At 39.6% G+C, this 19,114-nt stretch overlaps 1 long non-coding RNA gene across 1 annotated transcript in view; it reads right to left on the bottom strand.

Moving 5' to 3' along the window:
• Positions 1–13,828, bottom strand: part of LINC03098 (long intergenic non-protein coding RNA 3098) — a 44,082-nt gene extending 30,254 nt beyond the window's left edge. Inside the window, exon 1 of the long non-coding RNA NR_110396.1 lies at positions 13,736–13,828. This is a non-coding gene — a long non-coding RNA (long intergenic non-protein coding RNA 3098). The remainder of the gene's footprint in view (positions 1–13,735) is intronic.
• Between the last annotated feature and the right edge of the window lie 5,286 nt (positions 13,829–19,114).

The following is a 19,114-nucleotide window of genomic DNA, read 5'->3' as shown; positions in this document are numbered from 1 at the left end:
ACTTAGAAACAGCCATATCAATGATTACATTAAACATAGGAAACACCCCAAATGAAGGCATAAGTTGTTCAGGCTGCCGATAAGAAACCTACTGTAAATATAAAGACAGGTTAAAGTAAAAAGAAGGAAAAATATACTATGCACATACTAATCATAAGAAATCTACTGACAATATTATCATGAGATAAAGTAGACTTTAAGACATGAGGACTACCAGAGATACAGAGGGATATTTCATACTGATAAAATGGTTCATTCGTAAGAAGACAAAATTCTAAGTGTGTGTACCTGGTAACAGAGCTGCAAAACTTTTGAAGCAAAGTCTGGTATAATTTAAAGGAGAAATAGACAAATTCACAATTATATTTGGAGACTTTAACACTCCTTGCTCAGTAATCAGTTGAACAAGTTAACAGTCATTAAGACACCATCAATCAACTTGTCCTAATTGACATTTATAGTTCACTCCTCCCCACTCTCCCAAAACAACAGAAGACATTCTTTTCAAGTGCATGAAAAACACTCACCATGAGAAACCATATGCTGGGCTGTAAAGGAAGTATCAAAAAATATAAAATGATAAAAATAATAAAAGATATGCTTACTAACCATAAAGGAATTAAAGTAGAAATTAATACTTAGAAAGATATCTGGGAAAAACAAAAGTGAAACAAAAAAAACCACAACAAAAAAGAAAGATATCTGGGAAATTCCCTAAATGTTTAAAAATTAATCAAATGCAGTGATAACTGTGCACATTTGATGGACTGAACTGGAATCCAGTCACTACTAAAGTATACAGTCTCTTCTTTCCTCCTGTTTCCTAAACACACATCAGTGTCTATTTGCATTCACTTATATATGTGGGGTCATTTGCTTTGTAACCATGAGATAAGACAAGAGCTTTTGGTGATGAGAAGGGCTAGAAGAGGATAAGAAGAGCTCCAAGGGGATAATATGGCATCAATTCCCTTTCCGGACCTTTAACTTCCATGATTAAATGAATGAACATAATAAATTGCTGGCCCTGCCTAAGGGAGATTTTAAGAGACTGAGCAAAAGCTGAGTTGTTTCAAAGCCTCAGTGACAGAGTATGGCACAGAGCTGGGGAGGACACCCTTCTAATCCAAAACCATTTGGGGATCTCAAAGATTGAAAGCTTTGGGAGAAGTGATAGAAAGCACTGTTAGCATGTACATTGGCATTTCATGACGGACACGAAGCAGTTAGATTTCTACAGGTAACCTTGCAGGTAGAAGACATGGAGAAGTTGAAACTGGAACAGCATAGGAGAAACATGGTGGGACTCCCAGAAATATGGTATGGGCCGGGTGCAGTGGCCCACACCTGTAATCCCAGCACTTTGGGAGGCCGAGGCGGGTGGATCACCTGAGGTCAGGAGTTCAAGACCAGCCTGACCAACATGATGAAACTCCGTCTCTACTAAAAATACAAAATTAGTCGGGCGTGGTGGCTCATGCCCGTAATCCCAGCTACTCAGGAGGCTGAGGCAGGAGAATCGCTTGAACCCGGGAGGTGGAAGTTGCAGTGGGCCAAGATCACACTGTTGCACTCCAGCCTGGGCAACTCTGTCTCAAAAAAAAAAAAAAAAAAAGAAAAGAGAAAAAGAAACTTTTAGTTCTTAGCAGGTTAAATTTGGAAAGGACCCCCACAAAACCAATAATAAATGCAGGAGACTGGTGTAGACCTACATAAACAGTGTCCAGAAGGCTAAACACCAGATGTAGACCTGAGGCTTTCAAGAAATGATAAGAGCAACATAAAGAATTTTTACAAAGTTACATAAATAATTATTACAAAGTTGTGTTAAGAGCCAGAAGACAATTGAGAAAGGGGTCCAATTGATATTGACATACTGATGGATGATAAAGATAGAGCAGAACTCCTCTGTTCTCACTTTGCACCTATATTTTTTGTCAAGGAGAAATTTACATACTGAACAGTCTAGCCCAATGCTTTTCAAACTTTAACACACTTATACATCACTTAGGAATTTTGTTAAAATGAGATTGTGGTTTGGTAGGTCTGGGTGGGGCCCAATAATTTGCACTTCTAACAGGCTCCCAGGTAATGCTACTGTTGGTCCTCGAACCATACTTTGAATAACAAGAGTTTAGACCAAATATTGATAAAAGAAGAAAAGTCCAGGGTATGTAAAATGGTTGTCAAAGAGTATTTCATTGCTTTAACCAAGTTCAGTTGTCTGGACAAATTATATCTCTCAGAATATTGGAAGAACTAGCAAATGAGACCTCTAAACCACCCTTGGGGATAATTTTATTTTCATCAATTTGGAGCATATGCAGGGGGGTCGTAGAAGCCTAAAGACAGGCAAATGTGATCATGGATTTCAAAAAGGAAATAATAGAGGAAGTGTAAATGGACAGAACAAGCTTGTTGTTGATTCCAGGAGACAATCTAAAGTGGATTATTTTAAAAGGATGGTTTATGTTCACTGGACCCAGTGTAATTTCACTGGGAATGAAACCTGTCAGACTAGTTTCATTATTATTTTTTATTATTTTTTAATTTTTTTTTTTTTTGAGATGGAGTCTCGCTCTGTCACCCAGGTTGGAGTGCAATGGCTCGATCTCGGCTCACTGCAACCTCCGCCTCCTGGGTTCAAGCCATTCTCCTGCCTCAGCCTCCTGAGTAGCTGGGACTACAGGCACCTGCCACCACACCTGGCTAATTTTTTGTATTTTTAGTAGAGACAGAGTTTCACTGTGTTAGCCAGGATGGTCTCGATCTCCTGATCTCGTGATCCACCCTCCTTGGCCTCCCAAAGTGCTGGGATTACAGGCGTGAGCCACTGTGCCCGGCCTAGTTTCATGATCTTTAATAGGTTTACTAGAATGATCGGTCAGGGCAATGCAGCAGATAAAACAAGTGAAATTTGGCAAAGCACTACCTGAGGATTTTCATGATATTTGCAAAGCAGCACAATAAGGACTCGCTGTGAGAATAATAAGGGGGTTTAGTAGCTGGTTGACCAAGTCTGCCCCAAGGGTCCTGATAAATGATTAATAGCTTCTCAAGGACAGTCTCCAGGCCTGTTACAAGTCTTTATTATTGGCCTGATCTCCTTCAGAAATTTTATCAATGGCTTAAATCAGAGGTTCTCATACCTTGGGGGCAGGAGATGATTGTTAAAATATAGGTTCCTAATCTCCAATCCTGGGCTCTAATTCAGCAGGTCTAGATCAGGACATGGTATTCTATGTCTTAAATTATTTCAAGATAATGCTGAGGAAGGTACTCTGCGGAGCTCACTTTGAAAAAAAAAAATACTTGATGAATAAGAATGAACACAAGCAGCTCAAAACACAAGGGGCTCTTTTAAAAGTGCATAGTTTCCCTATTGCTTAAAGGATAGTAAAGCCAAGGGTAATATTTCCTTAGAGACAGAGCCCCACACCTTGAGGCTACCCATTTTCTTGATTTGAATGAGACTAAGAGTGTGAAAATATTTTTACCTTTGATCTCTATCCTTTGAATTAATTATTTTTTAAAGTCTCGGACTTCTGCTTTTGGGAAAGTGGAGTACACATAACTTTTGCTATTTTTTCACTAAGTATAACTAAAAACTCGTCATTGTATATAAAACAAACATAAGAAGGCTCTGAAAGGTGAAGAGAAGGCAGACCGCCTAAGGATCTTGGGACCCAAGAAATGATATGGTGGTGAGTTTCTTGGGTGGTTATTTTTATTTTTTTTGCCTCATATATCCTAGACTTGGGCTAAAGAAGGCAGCGACCCAGAACTGCAGAGGCTGGCAATTCAGAACTGCCAATGAGTAGAGATAAAAAAAGGCCCCAAGGAAAATGTTTTCTCTAGCCCAATAGACCATTGCAGCAACACCCTTATCCATGCCAGCAAAGGCCTAGTGGGAAGCCTAGACTTCCACCCACACAAGGTTATATAAGAAGGCCTCCTAACCCTCCTGCCTGGTGCTGTCAGAGGAGGCTTGGAAGAGAGTCAGGACTTTAGCCACTTCCTGGGAGTAAAAGAGCCTCCTCCACTTATGTCAGTAGAACCCACATGGAGACCATTAAGAAGCCTTCCTGTACCTCTCGGCCAGGTATCAGTGGACCCTGAGTGGGGAGCTGGAACTCCTACCCCCACTCAACAGCCCCCTTCAGGTATGAAAGGAGGCCAAGGGTGTAACCTGGACTTTCACTACTGTGTCCGGAATTGGTGGGTTCTTGGTCTCACTGACTTCAAGAATGAAGCCGCGGACCCTGGCCGTGAGTGTTACAGCTCTTAAGGTGGCGCGTCTGGAGTCTGTCCCTTCTGATGTTCAGATGTGTTCGGAGTTTCTTCCTTTTGGTGGGTTCGTGGTCTCACTGGCTCAGGAGTGAAGCTGCAGACCTTTGCAGTGAGTGTTACAGCTCTTAAGGCAGAGCGTCTGGAGTTGTTCATTCCTCCCGGTGGGCTCGTGATATCGCTGGGCTCAGGAGTGAAGCTGCAGACCTTCACAGTGAGTGTTACAGCTCTTAAGGCAGAGCATCTGGAGTCGTTCCTTACTCCCGGTGGGCTCGTGATCTCGCTGGGCTCAGGAGTGAAGCTGCTGCAGATCTTCGAGGTGACTGTTATAGCTCATAAAAGCAACGTGGACCCAAAAAGTGAGCAGTAGCAAGATTTATTGCAAAGAGCAAAAGAACAAAGCTTCCACAGTGTGGAAGAGGACCGGAGCGGGTTGCCAATGCTGGCTAGGGCAGCCTGCTTTTATTCTCTTATCTGGCCCCACCCACATCCTGCTGATTGGTAGAGCCCAGTGGCCTGTTTTGTCAGGGCGCTGATTGGTGCGTTTACAATCCCTGAGCTAGATACAAAGGTTCTCCACGTCCCCATCAGATTAGTTAGATACAGAGTTTCGACACACAGGTTCTCCAAGGCCCCACCAGAGCAGCTAGATACAGAGTGTCGATTGGTGCATTCACAAACCTTGAGCTAAACACAGGGTGCTGATTGGTGTGTTTACAAACCTTGAGCTAGATACAGAGTGCCCATTGGTGTATTTACAATCCCTGAGCTAGACATAAAGGTTCTCCAAGGCCCCACCAGAGCAGCTACATACAGAGTGTTGATTGGTGCACTCACAAACCTTGAGCTAAACACAGGGTGCTGATTGGTGTATTTACAATCCCTGAGCTAGATATAAAGACTCTCCACATCCCCACCAGACTCAGGAGCCCAGCTGGCTTCACCTAGTGGATCCCGCACCAGGGCTGCAGGTGGAGCGGCCTGCCAGTCCCACGCCGTGTGCTCGCACTCCTCAGCCCTTGGGTGGTCAATGGGACTGGGCGCCCTGCAGCAGGGGGCGGTGCTCGTTGGGGAGGCTCGGGCCGCACAGGAGCCCATGGAGTGGGTGGGAGGCTCAGGCATGGCGGGCTGCAGGTCCCGAGCCCTGCCCCGCGGGAAGGTAGCTAAGGCTCGATGAGAAATCGATCATTACCATGATCAGTGGGATTTATTCCAGGGATGCAAGGATAGTTCAACATACACAAACCTATAAATGTGGTACACTACATTAACAGAATGAAGCGCAAAAACCATATGATATCTCAATAGATTCAGAAAAGCATTTAACAAAATTGCTTGAAAACATCCTTTCATGATTAAAAAAACTCTGGAAAATTAGATATAGAAGAAATGTACTTCAACATAATAAAAGCCATGAATGACAAACCCACAGGTAACATCATACTCAATAGTGGCAAGTTAAAAGCTCTTCCACTAAGATTAGAAACAAGACAAGAATGACTACTTTTATCACTTCTATTCAGCATAGCACTGGACACCCTAGTTAGAGCAATTAGGCAAGAGAAAGAAAGACATCCAAATTAGAAAGGAAGAAGTTAAATGAAATTGTCCCTGTTTGTAGATGACATGATCTTATGTGTAGAAAACCCTAAAGATTCTGCCAAAAAATCCTGTTAGAACAAATAAGTTCAGCAAAGTTGTAGGATGCAAAATCAACATACAAAAATTCGGTAGTATTTCTATATACTAACAGCAAACTATCCAATAAAGAAATCAAGAAAATAATTCCATTTACAATAGCTACAAAAAATACTTAGGAATAAATCTAACTAAGGACGTGAAAAACCTGTATACCAAAAACTATAAAATTTTAATAAAAGAAATGGAAAAAGACACAAATAAATGGAAAGATATTCCATGTTCACAGGTTGGAAAATTAATATTGTTAAAATATCTATACTACCCAAAGCAATCTATTGATTCAGTGAAATGTCTATCAAAATTTCAGACATTTTTCACTAAAATAGAAAAAGCAATCCTAAAATTTGTATGAAACCACAAGACCCCAAACTGCCAAAACAATCTTGAAAAAGAACAAACCTGGAGGCATCACACTACCTCACTTCAAAATCTACTATATAGCGATAGTAATCAAAACAGCGTGATACTGGCATAGAAACAGACACATAGACCAATAGAACAGAATACGGAGCCCTGAAATAAATCCACCCATTTATGGTCAATTGATTTTGACAAAGGTGCTAAGAACATACAATGGGGGAAATGGGGAAAAGCATAATGGGGAAAGCAGGAAAGGAGAGTCTCTTTAATAATTGGTGTTTGAACAATTATTTATGTACAAAAGAATGAAATTAGATCCTTGTCTCACGCTATATACAAAATCAACTCAGAATGGAGTAAAGTGTTAAATGTAAGAACTGATACTATGAAACTACTAGAAGAAAACAGGGGAAATAACCATGACATTGGTCTAGGCAATTATTTTTGCATATGACCTGAAAAACATAGGCAATAAAAGTGAAGATAGGCAAATGGGATTACATCAAACCGAAAAGCTCCTGTACAGCAAAGGAAACAATAAACAGAGTGAAAAGATAATGTATGTAATGAGAGAAAACATTTGCAAAGCGTATGTCCTATAAGGGGTTAATAGCCAAAATATATGAGAAACTAAAATAACTCAGCAGCAAGAATACAAATAACCTGATTAAAGAATACAAAAATACAGGAATACAAAAAACCTGGGCAAAGGACCTCAATAGATGTTTCTCAAAAGAAAACATGCAAATGATGAACAGGTATATGAAAAATGCTAAGCATCACTAATTGTCAGAGAAATGCAAATTAAAACCACAATGTGCTATTACCTCACACCTGTTAGAATGGCTATTATCAAAAAGACAAAACAAAAAACAAAAAACAAGTGTTTGTGAGGATGTGGAGAAAGGGAACCCGTGTACATTGTTAATGGGAATGTAAATTAGTACAGCTATTATTGAAAACAGTATGGAGATTTTTCGAAGAATTAAAAGTAAAATTTTTACCATATGATCTAGCCATCCCACTACTGGGTATATACCCAAAGAAAATACAATTAGTGTATTGAAGAGATATCTGCACTCCTATGTTCATTGCAGCATTATTTACAATAGCCAAGATATGGAAATAATCTAAGAGTTCAACAACAGATGAATGGATAAAGAAAATGTGGTATACGTACACAACGAAATACTATTCCGCCTTAAAAAGGAAGGAAATCGTGTCATTTGTGACAACATGGGTAAAACTGGAAAACATGTTAAGTGAAATAAGCCAGGCACAGAAAGACAAAGACCATGTGATCTCACTTATATGTGGAATCTTAAACATTTGAACACATAGAAGTAGAGAATAAAATGGTGGTTACCAGGGACTGGGGGCAGTGAAGGGGTTGAGGAAGATGTTGGTCAAAGGATACAAAATTTCAGTTAGATAAGAGGAATAAATTCAAGAGATCTATTGCACGATGTGATGACTATAGTTAATAATGATATATTCTGTTTTTAACTTTTATTTTAGGTTTAGGGGTACATGTGAAGGTTTTTTACATAGGTAAACTTGTGTCATGGGGGTTTGTTGTAGAGATTATTTAATCACACAGGTATTAAATCCAGTACCCAATAGTTATCTCTTCTGTTCCTCTCCATCCTCCCAACCTCCACTCTCAAGGAGCACCCAGTGTCTGTTGTTCCCTTCTTTGTTTTCATGAGTTCTCATCATTTAGCTCCCACTAATAAGTGGGAACATGTAGTATTTGGTTTTCTGTTCCTACGTTAGTTCGCTAAGAATAATAGCTTCCAGCTCCATCCATGTTCCCACAAAAGACATGATACTGTTCTTTTTTTATGGCTGCATAGTATTCCACGGTGTATATGTACCACATTTTCTTAATCCAGTCTGCCAATGATGGGCCTTTAGGTTGATTCCATGTCTTTGCTATTGTGAATAGTGCTGCAATGAACATTTGTGTGCATGTGTCTTTATGGTAGAATGATTTGTATTCCTCTGGGTATATACCAGTAATGTGATTGCTGGATCAAATGGTAGTTCTGTTTTAGTTCTTTGAGAAATCTCCAGGATACTTTTCACAATGGTTGAACTAGTTTACACTCCCACCAACAAATGTATGAGTGTTCCCTTTTCTCCACAACCTTGCCAGCACCTGTTATTTTTTGACTTTTTAGTAATAGCCATTTTGACTGGCATGAGATGGTATCTCATTGTGATTTTGATTTGCATTTCTCTAATGATCAGTGATATTGAGATTTTTTTCATATTCTTGTTGGCCGCATGTATGTCTTCTTCTGTAAAGCATCTGTTCATGTCCTTTGCCCACTTTTCAATGAGGTTGTTTTTCTCTTGAAAATTTGTTTAACCCAGAAACAAATCCACACATCTACACTGAACTCATTTTTTACAAAGTTGCCAAGAACGTACGCTAGGGAAAGGGCAGTCTCTTCAATAAATTGTGCTGAGAACACTGGATATCCATATGCAGAAGAATGAAACTAGAGTCCTATCTCTCACCATATGAAAAAACAAAAGGGATTAAAGGCTTAAATATAAGACCTCAAACTATGAAACTACTACAAGAAAACATCGGGGAAACTCTCCAGGACATTGGACTAGGCAAAGATTTCTTGAGTAATACCCCGCAAGCACAGGCAACCAAAGCAAAAATGGACAAATGGGATCACACCAAGTTAAAAGCTTCTGCCTGGCAAAGGAAACAACAAAGTGAAGAAATAACCCACAGAATGAGAATATATTTGCAAACTATTTATCTAAAAGGGATTAATAACCAGAATATACAAGGGGCTCAAACAACTCTATAGGAAAAAAAAATCTAATAATCTGATTTTAAAACGGGCAAAAGATCTGAATAAACATCAAAAGAAGACATACAAATGGCAAGCAGGTACATGAAACAGTGCTGAACATCACTGATCATCAGAGAAATGCAAATCAAAACTGGGGTGAGATGATATACCATTCCAGTTAAAATGGCTTTTATTCAAAAGACAGGCAATAACAAATATTGGCAATGATGTGGAGAAAAGGGAACCATTGTACACTGTTGGTGGGAATGTGAATTAGCACAATCACTATGGAGGTTCCTCAAAAAACTAAAAATAGAACTTCTATGTGATTCAACAGTCCCACTACTAGGTATATACCCAGAAGAAAGGAAATCAGTATATCAAAGAGATATCTGCACTCTCATGTTTATTGCAGCACTATTCACAATAAGCCAAGATTTGGAAACAACCTAGGTATCCATCAGTAGATGAATGGATACAGAAAATGTGGTGCTTATACACAATGGAGTAATATTCAGTCATAAGAAAGGATGAGATCCTGTCATTTGCAACAACATGGATGGAACTGGAGGACATTATGTTAAGTGCAATAAGCCAGGTACACAGAGACAAACCTCACATGTTCTCACTTATGTGTGGGAGCTAAAAATTAAACCAATTGAACTCATGGAGATAGAGAGTAGAAGGATGATCACCAGAGGCTGGGAAGGGTAATGTTGGAGGGGAAGAGGGGATGGTTAATGGGTACAAAAAGATAATTAGATAGAATGAATGAGATCTAGTATTTGAGAGCACAATAGGGTGACTACAGTCAACAATAATTGTATATTTTAAAATAACTAAAAGAGAATAATTGGGTTGTTTGTAAGACAAAGAAAGGATAAATGCTTGAGGGGATGGATGCTCCTTTTACCCTGGTGTGATTATTACACATGGCATGCCTGTATCACAATATCTCATGTACCCCATAAATATATAAACCTATTATATAACCACAAAATTAAAAATAAATTTTTTAAAAAAAGATATTAGCAAATAGAATTCAGAATGTATAAAAGGTATTATGCATAATGACAAAATAGTGCTTATTTCAGAGATGCAAAGCTAGTTCAATATTCAAAAATCAATCAATGTAATCTGTGATACTAAAAGGCCACTGAAGAAAACTTACATGATCACATAAATTGATGCAGAAAAGTGACTTGAGAAAATACAACACCCATTCAGAATAAAAAAATACTCAGTTTTCTAGGAATAGAGGGAAATTCCTCAACTTGATAAAAGGCAAGTACAAAAACCTATAGCTGACGACAAGAATGCCCTCTCTTGCCACTCTTTTATTTTATTTTATTTTTAAGACAAGGTCTCACTATGTTGCCCAGGATGGTCTCCAACTTCTGGCCTCAAGTGATCCTCATGCCTTGGCCTCCCAAAGTGTTGGGATTACAGGCATGAGCCACCACGCCCAGCTGCCACTCTTATTCAACAAAGTGCTGGAAGTTTTAGTCAGTGCAATAAGATGAGAAAAGGAAATAAAAGGCATACAAAATAGAAAGGCATAAATAAAACTGCCTCTATTTGCAAATGACATAACTGTCTACACAGTAAATCTCAGGAATCATTTAAAAACCTAGAACTAATAAATGCATTCAGCAAGGCTGTCAGATACTAGATCAACAATGAATGTGTGGACACTGAAATGAAAAATAGAATACTTTTACAATAGCTAAAAAATTTAATACTTCAGTGCAAATCTAACAAAACATGTAAAGCACTTGTATGCTGAAGACTACAAAATTCTGATGAAGGAAATCAAAGATCTATATAAATGGAGAGACATACCATGGATGGAAAACTGAACACAGTAAAGACATCAATTCTCCCCAAATTGATATACAAGTTTAATGCAATAATTATTAGAATCATAGCAAGAACTTTTGTAGACAAAGACATGTTTATTTTAAAATTTATATGTAAAGCAACAGGCCCTAGAATAGTTAAAACGTAGTGAAAATAAGTTAATAAGATTAAAGTATATGGAATCACTTGTGTTATGACTTAATATGATGCTACGGTAGTCAAGATAGTGTGGTATTGGTGGAGGGATAAACACAGATTGGAGGGACAGAAGAGAGAATCCAGGACAGACTCTTAAAAACAAATATGGCAAACTGATTTTTGACAAATGCACAAAAGAATGTCAATGGAGGAAATATAGCTTTTTCAACAAATGATGCTAAAACAATTGGATATCCACAGGCAAAAAACAAACAAACAAACAAACAAACACCTTGACCTATATATCACATCTTACACAAAAATCAACTCAAAATGGATTATGAACTTAAGTGTAAAACACAAAACTATAAAGGTTTTAGAAAAAAAAACACAGGAGAAAATCTTTGGGATCTAGGGCTATGTGAATAGTTCTCATACCTGACACCAAAGGCATTAGCCATAAAAGGAAAAATTTATAAATTGGACTTAATCAAAATGAAAAACTTCTGCTTTGCGAAAGAGGATGAAAAGGCAAGCTATAAGCTTGGAGAAAATATTTGCAAACCACATATCCAACAAAGGACCTGTATACAGAATATTTAAAGAACTCCCAAAAACTTAACAGTTAAAAAATAAAACCAATCAATTCAATCAGAAAATGAACAAAAGTCATGAAGAGTCATTCCATGAATGAGGAGATATAGATAGCAAATAAGCATAGTTAATGATGTTCATTGTAAGGGAAATGCAAATTAAAACCACATTGAAGTATCACTATGTATTTGTCAGAATAAATAATATTAGAGACAACATCAAATGCTAGTAAGGGTGTGGAGAGATGGAATCACTTATGTACATTGTTGTTTGGAATGTAAAATGATACAATCATACTGGAAGGGAGTATGGCAGTTTCTTTCTTTCCTCTTTCTTTCTTTCTTTCTTTCTTTCTTTCTTTCTTTCTTTCTTTCTTTCTTTCCTTCTTTCTTTCTTTTGGGGTCTCCCTCTGTCACCCAGGCTGGAGTGAAGTGGTGTGATCATGGCTCACTGCGGCCTCAAACTCCTGGGCTCAATCGATTCTCCCACCTCAGCCTCCCAAGTAGCTGGGACCACAGGCATGGGCCACCATGCTGGCTAATGTTTTGTATTTTTTGTAGAGATGGGGTTTTGCCATATTGCCCAGGCTGGTTTCGAACTCCTGTCCTCAAGTGATCCACCTGCCTCGGTCTCCCGAAGTGCTGGGATTACAGGCATGAGCCACTGCACCTGACTATGGTTTCTTAAAAAACTAAACATGCAACTACTATATGACCCAGCAATTTCACAGAATAGTTCCTCTTCCCAGAGTTGTTTTACAAGGCATAATTGACTGAAAAATACTGCCCATAAGACATTAAGTCACATGAGTGGACTATACATGGACATTGAGAATTACTAGGCCTGAAAATTATGGGTCCCCTATCTTCTTGGGCTTCTCTATTTCCATGGTGGCCAAGCTCTGTCTCTCCCCTTGGCTGGTCTTTGAAATTCAGGAGCTGATAGCTCCTCTGCTGCCATCTGTCTAGCTTGCCTGGCATTGTGCTGAAGAAGTTGACTTTGGCTCCCTCTGAAACCCCAAGTGGGTTATGTAGCTTTCTCCTCCAGATCTAACCAGCTACCTAATGGAAGAGTTACCAAACTCTTGAGGCAGGCAGGAAACATCCCTTTTGCATTCCTGCCAGTCAGACTGGCTAGGATAGGAGTGGGGGTCAGGATGCTGGATGGGACCCTCAGCTGGGATCCAACCTGCTCTACTTCCACGGGCCATGTAGTGATTTGTGGCTTCTCTCACTCCTGCATAGGCCTCCTGGCTTGCTTTCAAGATAAGAGTCAAAGGTTGTGAGCCTTCGCCAATTTTTCCTGGGTAAGGAAAACTCATTTCCTTTCCTTGGCATTTGTCCCCTTTCCTCTCTTTCTCACTCCAAGTGTCTCTTTTACAGTCTCTTCTGGGAACTTCCTCTCTCCAATCTGTGACACCTTCTATAATTCCTGCCCTTCTATTTTCAGTTTATGTTGATGCCTGTAGGGTCATATGTGAAAGCCTTTTAGAAACTCCAGCTAAAATTATGCAATTGCAAAGCATCATTGCTGCTTGCCTGTTAGATGGGCAAGGTCCTGTGCTATATGCTAACTGAATCTGCCCACAAGTAGCGTACATCTAATGGGAAGATAACTAATATTAATACAGAGAAACATATGCCAAGAGCCACAAGAACAATAAAGAAAATATGCTATGAATTCGGATCTGTTTCACTCCCATCTTCCAGGAATCAACAGGCCAGACAGGAGGCTTTGCCAGAAAGCCTTTTCAAACCTGGCATTCTAAGTTTCCATCATGTCTGTATTAATTTCCTATTGCCACTCTAATAAACTAACACAAATTTAGTGGCTTAAAATAATGCAGACTTACTATCTGACAGTTCTAGAGGCCAAAAGTTTTACAATCAAGCTGTCAGTATGTATTAGTCCATTCTCACATTGCTATAAAAAAACTACCTGAGACTTTATAAAGAAAAGAGATTTAATTGACTCACAGTTCTGCAGGCTATACAGGAGCCATGGCTGGGTAGGCCTCAGGAAACTTATAATCATGGCAAAATATGAAGGGGAAGCAAGCACACCTTCACATGGTGACAGGAGAGAGAGTGAAGGGGGAGGTGCTACACAGTTTTAAACAACCAGATCTCGTGAGAACTCACTACCATGAGAACAGCAGGGGGGGAATCCACCCCCATGATCCAATCACCTCCCACCAGGTCCCTCCCCCAACACTGGGGATTACAATTCAACATGAGATTTGAGTAGAGACACAGAGCCAAACCATATCACAGCAGGACTGTGTTCCTTCTAGAAGCCCTAAGGGAGAATTTGTTTTCTTGCCATTTCCAGAGGCCGTCTGAATTTCTTGCTTGTGACTGTATTCTCCATCTACAGAGCACATCACTGCAACCTTTGCTTCTGTCATCACATCTTCCCTGACTTTGATCCTCCTGCCTCCCTCTTACAGGGACCCCTGTGATTACACTGGGCCCATCTGGATAATCCGGGATAATCTTCCCATCTCAGGATCCTTAACTAATCCCATCTGCAAAGTCCTTTTTGCCATGTAAGGTAACATATTCACAGCTTCCAGGGGTTTAAGACATAGACATCTTCGAGGATTCATTATTCTGTCTACCACAATTTCCTATCTCTCTACCTGGAGAAACCCTTTTTCTCAATCATCTACAGACTCCTTTCCCTGTGGCATCTCCCATAATGCATGGCTCTAGGCTTTCTGTTTATATTCACTGTGTGGTTATATAAGAAATTTTGCCTTTTCAATTTGTTGTATTTTTGTTTTGCTTTTAGTCAGAGGCCCCTCAGGATGAAAGAAACTGTCTCAGTCTTCAGTGGTATAGAGTTCTTTATCCTTGAATGTAAACTAGCAGACCCTGGGGGATTCCTTTCAGTCCTGATATGTCTCAGTTTCATTCACAGTAGAATTTCAGGAATGAAGCTGACTAAATGTGTTATCTCAGAGATGTCTGCTCTTAAAGAGGGACTCCAGCAGATCCAGTACCTTAAGACATTCTCTCAAGGGTCAGTTATTCACAACTGACTAAAAGTTTTGCTATATCCCTTCAACCTCTTCTGTACTTTAGCTAACACTTTTCTTTTGTTTACATTTTAAAATTGCAATTATATCTGAAAAATCATGCATTAGGTGTACTAGTTACCTTCTTCTAATAAATGTTAAACACAAAGCTACTAAAATCCCCTCTTAAGTGGTACAAGTGGTACATAAAATGTGCCTGTTTTGCGGGAACACCTGAAAGTAATCTCATGCTGACACTCCAGGCAGTGTGGGAGAATGCAGGAGACACTTTCGGTTTGCCCTAAAAATCAGAGTATCAGAGGACAATTGCCACAGACCCTCAAAACACATCTACCCATCTGCCTGCATTTTTGCCTATATTCTGCCTTCCATCACATTTCTGTAGATGACCTATCTGTACAACCCTTCCACCTGTACTCTGGATCTCATTCTTTCTTACTACTTCAAGGTCATTGTTCCAGCAAGCCCTCTCCTCCATACACATAATCGAACTTTCCTTCTTATTGGGCAATTCCCATCGGCATATAGGCATGTTTTTCTTCCATAATAAAAAATTCTCTTGACCCCACTTTTTTTTTTTTTTGAGATGGAGTTTTGCTCTTGTTGCCCAGGCTGGAGTGCAGTGGCACGATCTCGGCTCACCACAACCTCCACCTCCCGGGTTCAAGCGATTCTCCTGCCTCAGCCTCCCAAGTAGCTGGGATTACAGGCGTGCACCACCATGCCCAACTAATTTTGTATTTTTAGTAGAGACGGGGTTTCTCCATGTTGGTCAGGCTGGTCTTCAACTCCCGACCTCAGGTGATCTGCCCACCTCGGCCTCCCAAAATACTGGGATTACAGGTGTGAGCCACCACACCCGGCCTTGACCCCACTTTCTGTTCTAGCTAATGCACCCATTTCTCCACTCCTGTCTACAGCCAAGTTCTTTGAAAGAATTGTCTACACTTGCCAACTCCAATTTCTCTCTCCTCTTTCTCTCTTGAACAAATTCAAATGAGGCTATCACCCCAACCACTCCACGTAAGCTGCTTTTGTCAGGACCACTGTCATGTTACTAAATTCAATGGACTATCCTGTCATCATCTTACATGACCAAGCAGGAGCACTTGACATAGTTGATCACTCCCTCCTCCTTGAAACACCTTCTTCACCTGGCTTCCAGGACAAGATACTCTCCTGGTTTGCCTCCTACCTCACTAGCTCCTTCTTGTCTGTCTCCACTGTTGTTTCCTTTTCATCTTCCCAACCTCTAAACATTCGTGTTCTCCAGGGCTCATACCTCAGATCTCTTATCTATCAATATTACTTTTTTTGGAGGCTTTAAATCTCATACAATCTCATAGCTTTAAATACCATCTATGTGTTGATGACATCATAACGTACATCTCCAATTCAGACCTCAGCCCTGAGCTCCAGACTCATATATCCAACTGCCCAATTGACATCTGCTCCCGTGATTCCTGCCCCCTGGTGTACATACCATGAATAATCCCCTTCCTTTGAGTGAGGGTGAAACCTGTGAATATGACGGATGTCACTCTGGTGATTAGATTGTTATGTGGTAAAGGTAAAGAAATTTTTGTAGATGTAATTAAGGTCCTTAGTTAGAAGTTAACTTTGAGTTAATCAAATGGAAAATTACCCAGGGCAAGCCTGACCTAATCAGGTGAGCTCTTTAAAACGAAGTCTAGAGATCACAGATCTACTCTCTCTTGTTAGCCTGAAAGAAGCAAATTTTCATGAATTCTACAGCTGCAAGGAAGCAAATTCCGTTAACAACTATGTGAACTTGAAAGGATATCCCTTTATAACACTATTCGCCATCTCATATGTTATTTTCATATGTAATTTGTTTATTGTCTGCTTCAGCCCCCTCCCCCCATGTAAATTTCCAAGGGAAGGGATTTTTCTGTTTTATTCATTGATAAATCCTTCAATGCTTTAAACAGTACCTGTTACATAGTAAATGCTAATAAATATTTGTTAGATAAATGAATAAATGAATTTTAATTATTGAGTTTTTCATGTTCCCCACAACCCTTTTCCACTACTAACTATTCTCTCACCAAATTCCAGCATTACAAACTTCTATCCCTTTCATTGAGACGTGAATTCACTTTGCACTCTTAAAAATGACATCCTGAAAGATTAGTCCCACCTCTACTGAGGGAGTTTCAGGTACTCTAACCAGAAAGTTATCATCCTTGGCAGATATCTTGGTTTGGGGGACCAGATGGACCTGGATTGGAATGCTAGCTCTGCCATTTGGTAACTGTGTAAGACCTAAAGTACATTGCTTCATTTCTCTGAGCCCCAGTTTCCCCTCTGGAGAGTAAGAATATTGTCTGCAGTCATAGGGTTTCTGGGAGGACTGAAAGCAGGCATGCATTTTTTATGTGAAGAACAGTTACTGGCATAAAGATGCTATCATACTACACACATGGCTCTGTAACTCGCTATTCCTATGGTTTTGTACATCTATCTTTACATTCTGGTATTTTAATTTCTATAGGATAAATTCCCGAAGTGGGGTTCCTGGCCCCAATGGTATGTGCTTTAAAAAAGTTAAATGGTGCTGGATTATTTTCCAAAAAGGTTTTAACAATTCATAGTCTTTTTTTGTGTGTGTAGCAGGGTCTTACTCTGTTGCCCAGGCTGGAGTGCAGTTGTGCGATCTCAGCTCACTGCAACCTCTGCCTCCCAGGTTCAAGAGATTCTCCTGCCTCAGCCTTCCAAGTAGCTGGGATTATGGGCGTGTGCCACCATGCCTGGCTAATTTTTGTATTGTTGGTAGAGATGGGGTTTCACCATGTTGGCCAGGCTGGTCTCAAACTCCTGGCCTCAACTGATCTGTTCGCCTCGGCCTCCCAAAGTGCTGGGATTACAGGAATGAACCACTGTACCCGGCCAATACTCTTAACAACTATGTATGAGAACGCCTGTTTCCCTGATGCTTACCAGTAGCGGATGTTACCAGTGTTTCTCATTTTTGCTGATGAAAATAGTAAATGGAAAAATGGTATCTCACTGTGTTTATTTCCATTTCCTTTATCACTTGTAAATATAAATATATTTTAATATTTATATTCATTTGCATGTCTCCTTCTGTGACTTACTTTCCTTTGTCCAATCTTCTTTTGGATCATTTGCATTTTTCTTATCAATTTATAGGTTGAGAGTGTGAGGAGTGACTGCTAAGGGGTACGAACACTCTTTTGGGGCGATAAAAATGTTCTGAAATTAGATTGTGGTGATAGTTTAATAACTCTGTAAATGTACTGAAAACCTTTGAATTTTACACTTTAAATTAGTGAATTTTACACTTTAAATTAGTGAATTTTATGGTATACAAATTATTATCTCAGAAAACTGTTACAAATGATAAAAATTTTTGAAAAGATTTTTTTGAGATGGTGATTTTTCATGGCTGCATACAATTCCCTTTTATGGAGTTATTGTATTTCATTTAAGCACCCTCAATTGTTTTAAATTATTTCCAATGTTTTACTCTTATAAAAATTGTGATGGGGGCCAGGTGTGGTGGCTCATGCCTGTAATCCCAACACTTTGGGAGGCTGAGGTGGGAGGATTACTTAAGGCTTGGAGTTTGAGACCAGTGTGGGTAACATAGCAAGACCCTGTTGCTACCCCCAATTTTTTTTTAACTGGCTAGGCATGGTGACGTGTGCCTGTAGTTCCAGCTACTCAGGAGGCTGAGGCAGGAGGATCTGAGCCCAGGAGTTTGAGATCACAGCGATCACTCCACTGCACCACAGCCTGGGCGACAGAGTGGGACTTTGTCTCTAAAAAAAAAAAAAAAAAGGAAAAAACAGTGATGAATTTCTTTGTACATGAATCTCTGCTTTTTCTTAGGATATATTCTTAGAATAGGAATTACTGGGGGTGGGGGAAGATGGTTTTTAAGGGGGAGATATGATTTCTTTCTTTCTTTCTTTTTTTTCTGGTGTTGTACTCAAAAGGGAGGTAAGGTTCTAATAAAAAATTTAAAAGTAGTTGATGGTGATTCCATGTCAATCTGAGTATTTTGGAGTTTTCTCGTTAAGTTCAGAATGCCATATTCAGCATCTCAAAATTGTTGGCCTGGTCCCTCCTACTATGGTGACACCAAGTAACACTATAGTTGGTGACAGAGAGCATTTTTAGTTCTCATCACACAAATATATACAATTTATTTCTCTCTTTATCATCAGTTGTTTAACTTACAACTGTCTAGCAACTTACTGATTGCTAGAAAAACAAGATGAGAAGCTACATTGCTTTCCCTGGCTCAAATCCGTGGGGATTAGGGGCT

The sequence above is a fragment of the Homo sapiens genome, chromosome X (genome assembly GCF_000001405.40).
Source record: "Homo sapiens chromosome X, GRCh38.p14 Primary Assembly".
NCBI classification, from domain to species: Eukaryota; Metazoa; Chordata; class Mammalia; order Primates; family Hominidae; genus Homo; species Homo sapiens.
The sequence above is the reverse complement of the archived record's forward strand: the minus strand, read 5'-3'. Positions and strand labels throughout refer to the sequence as shown.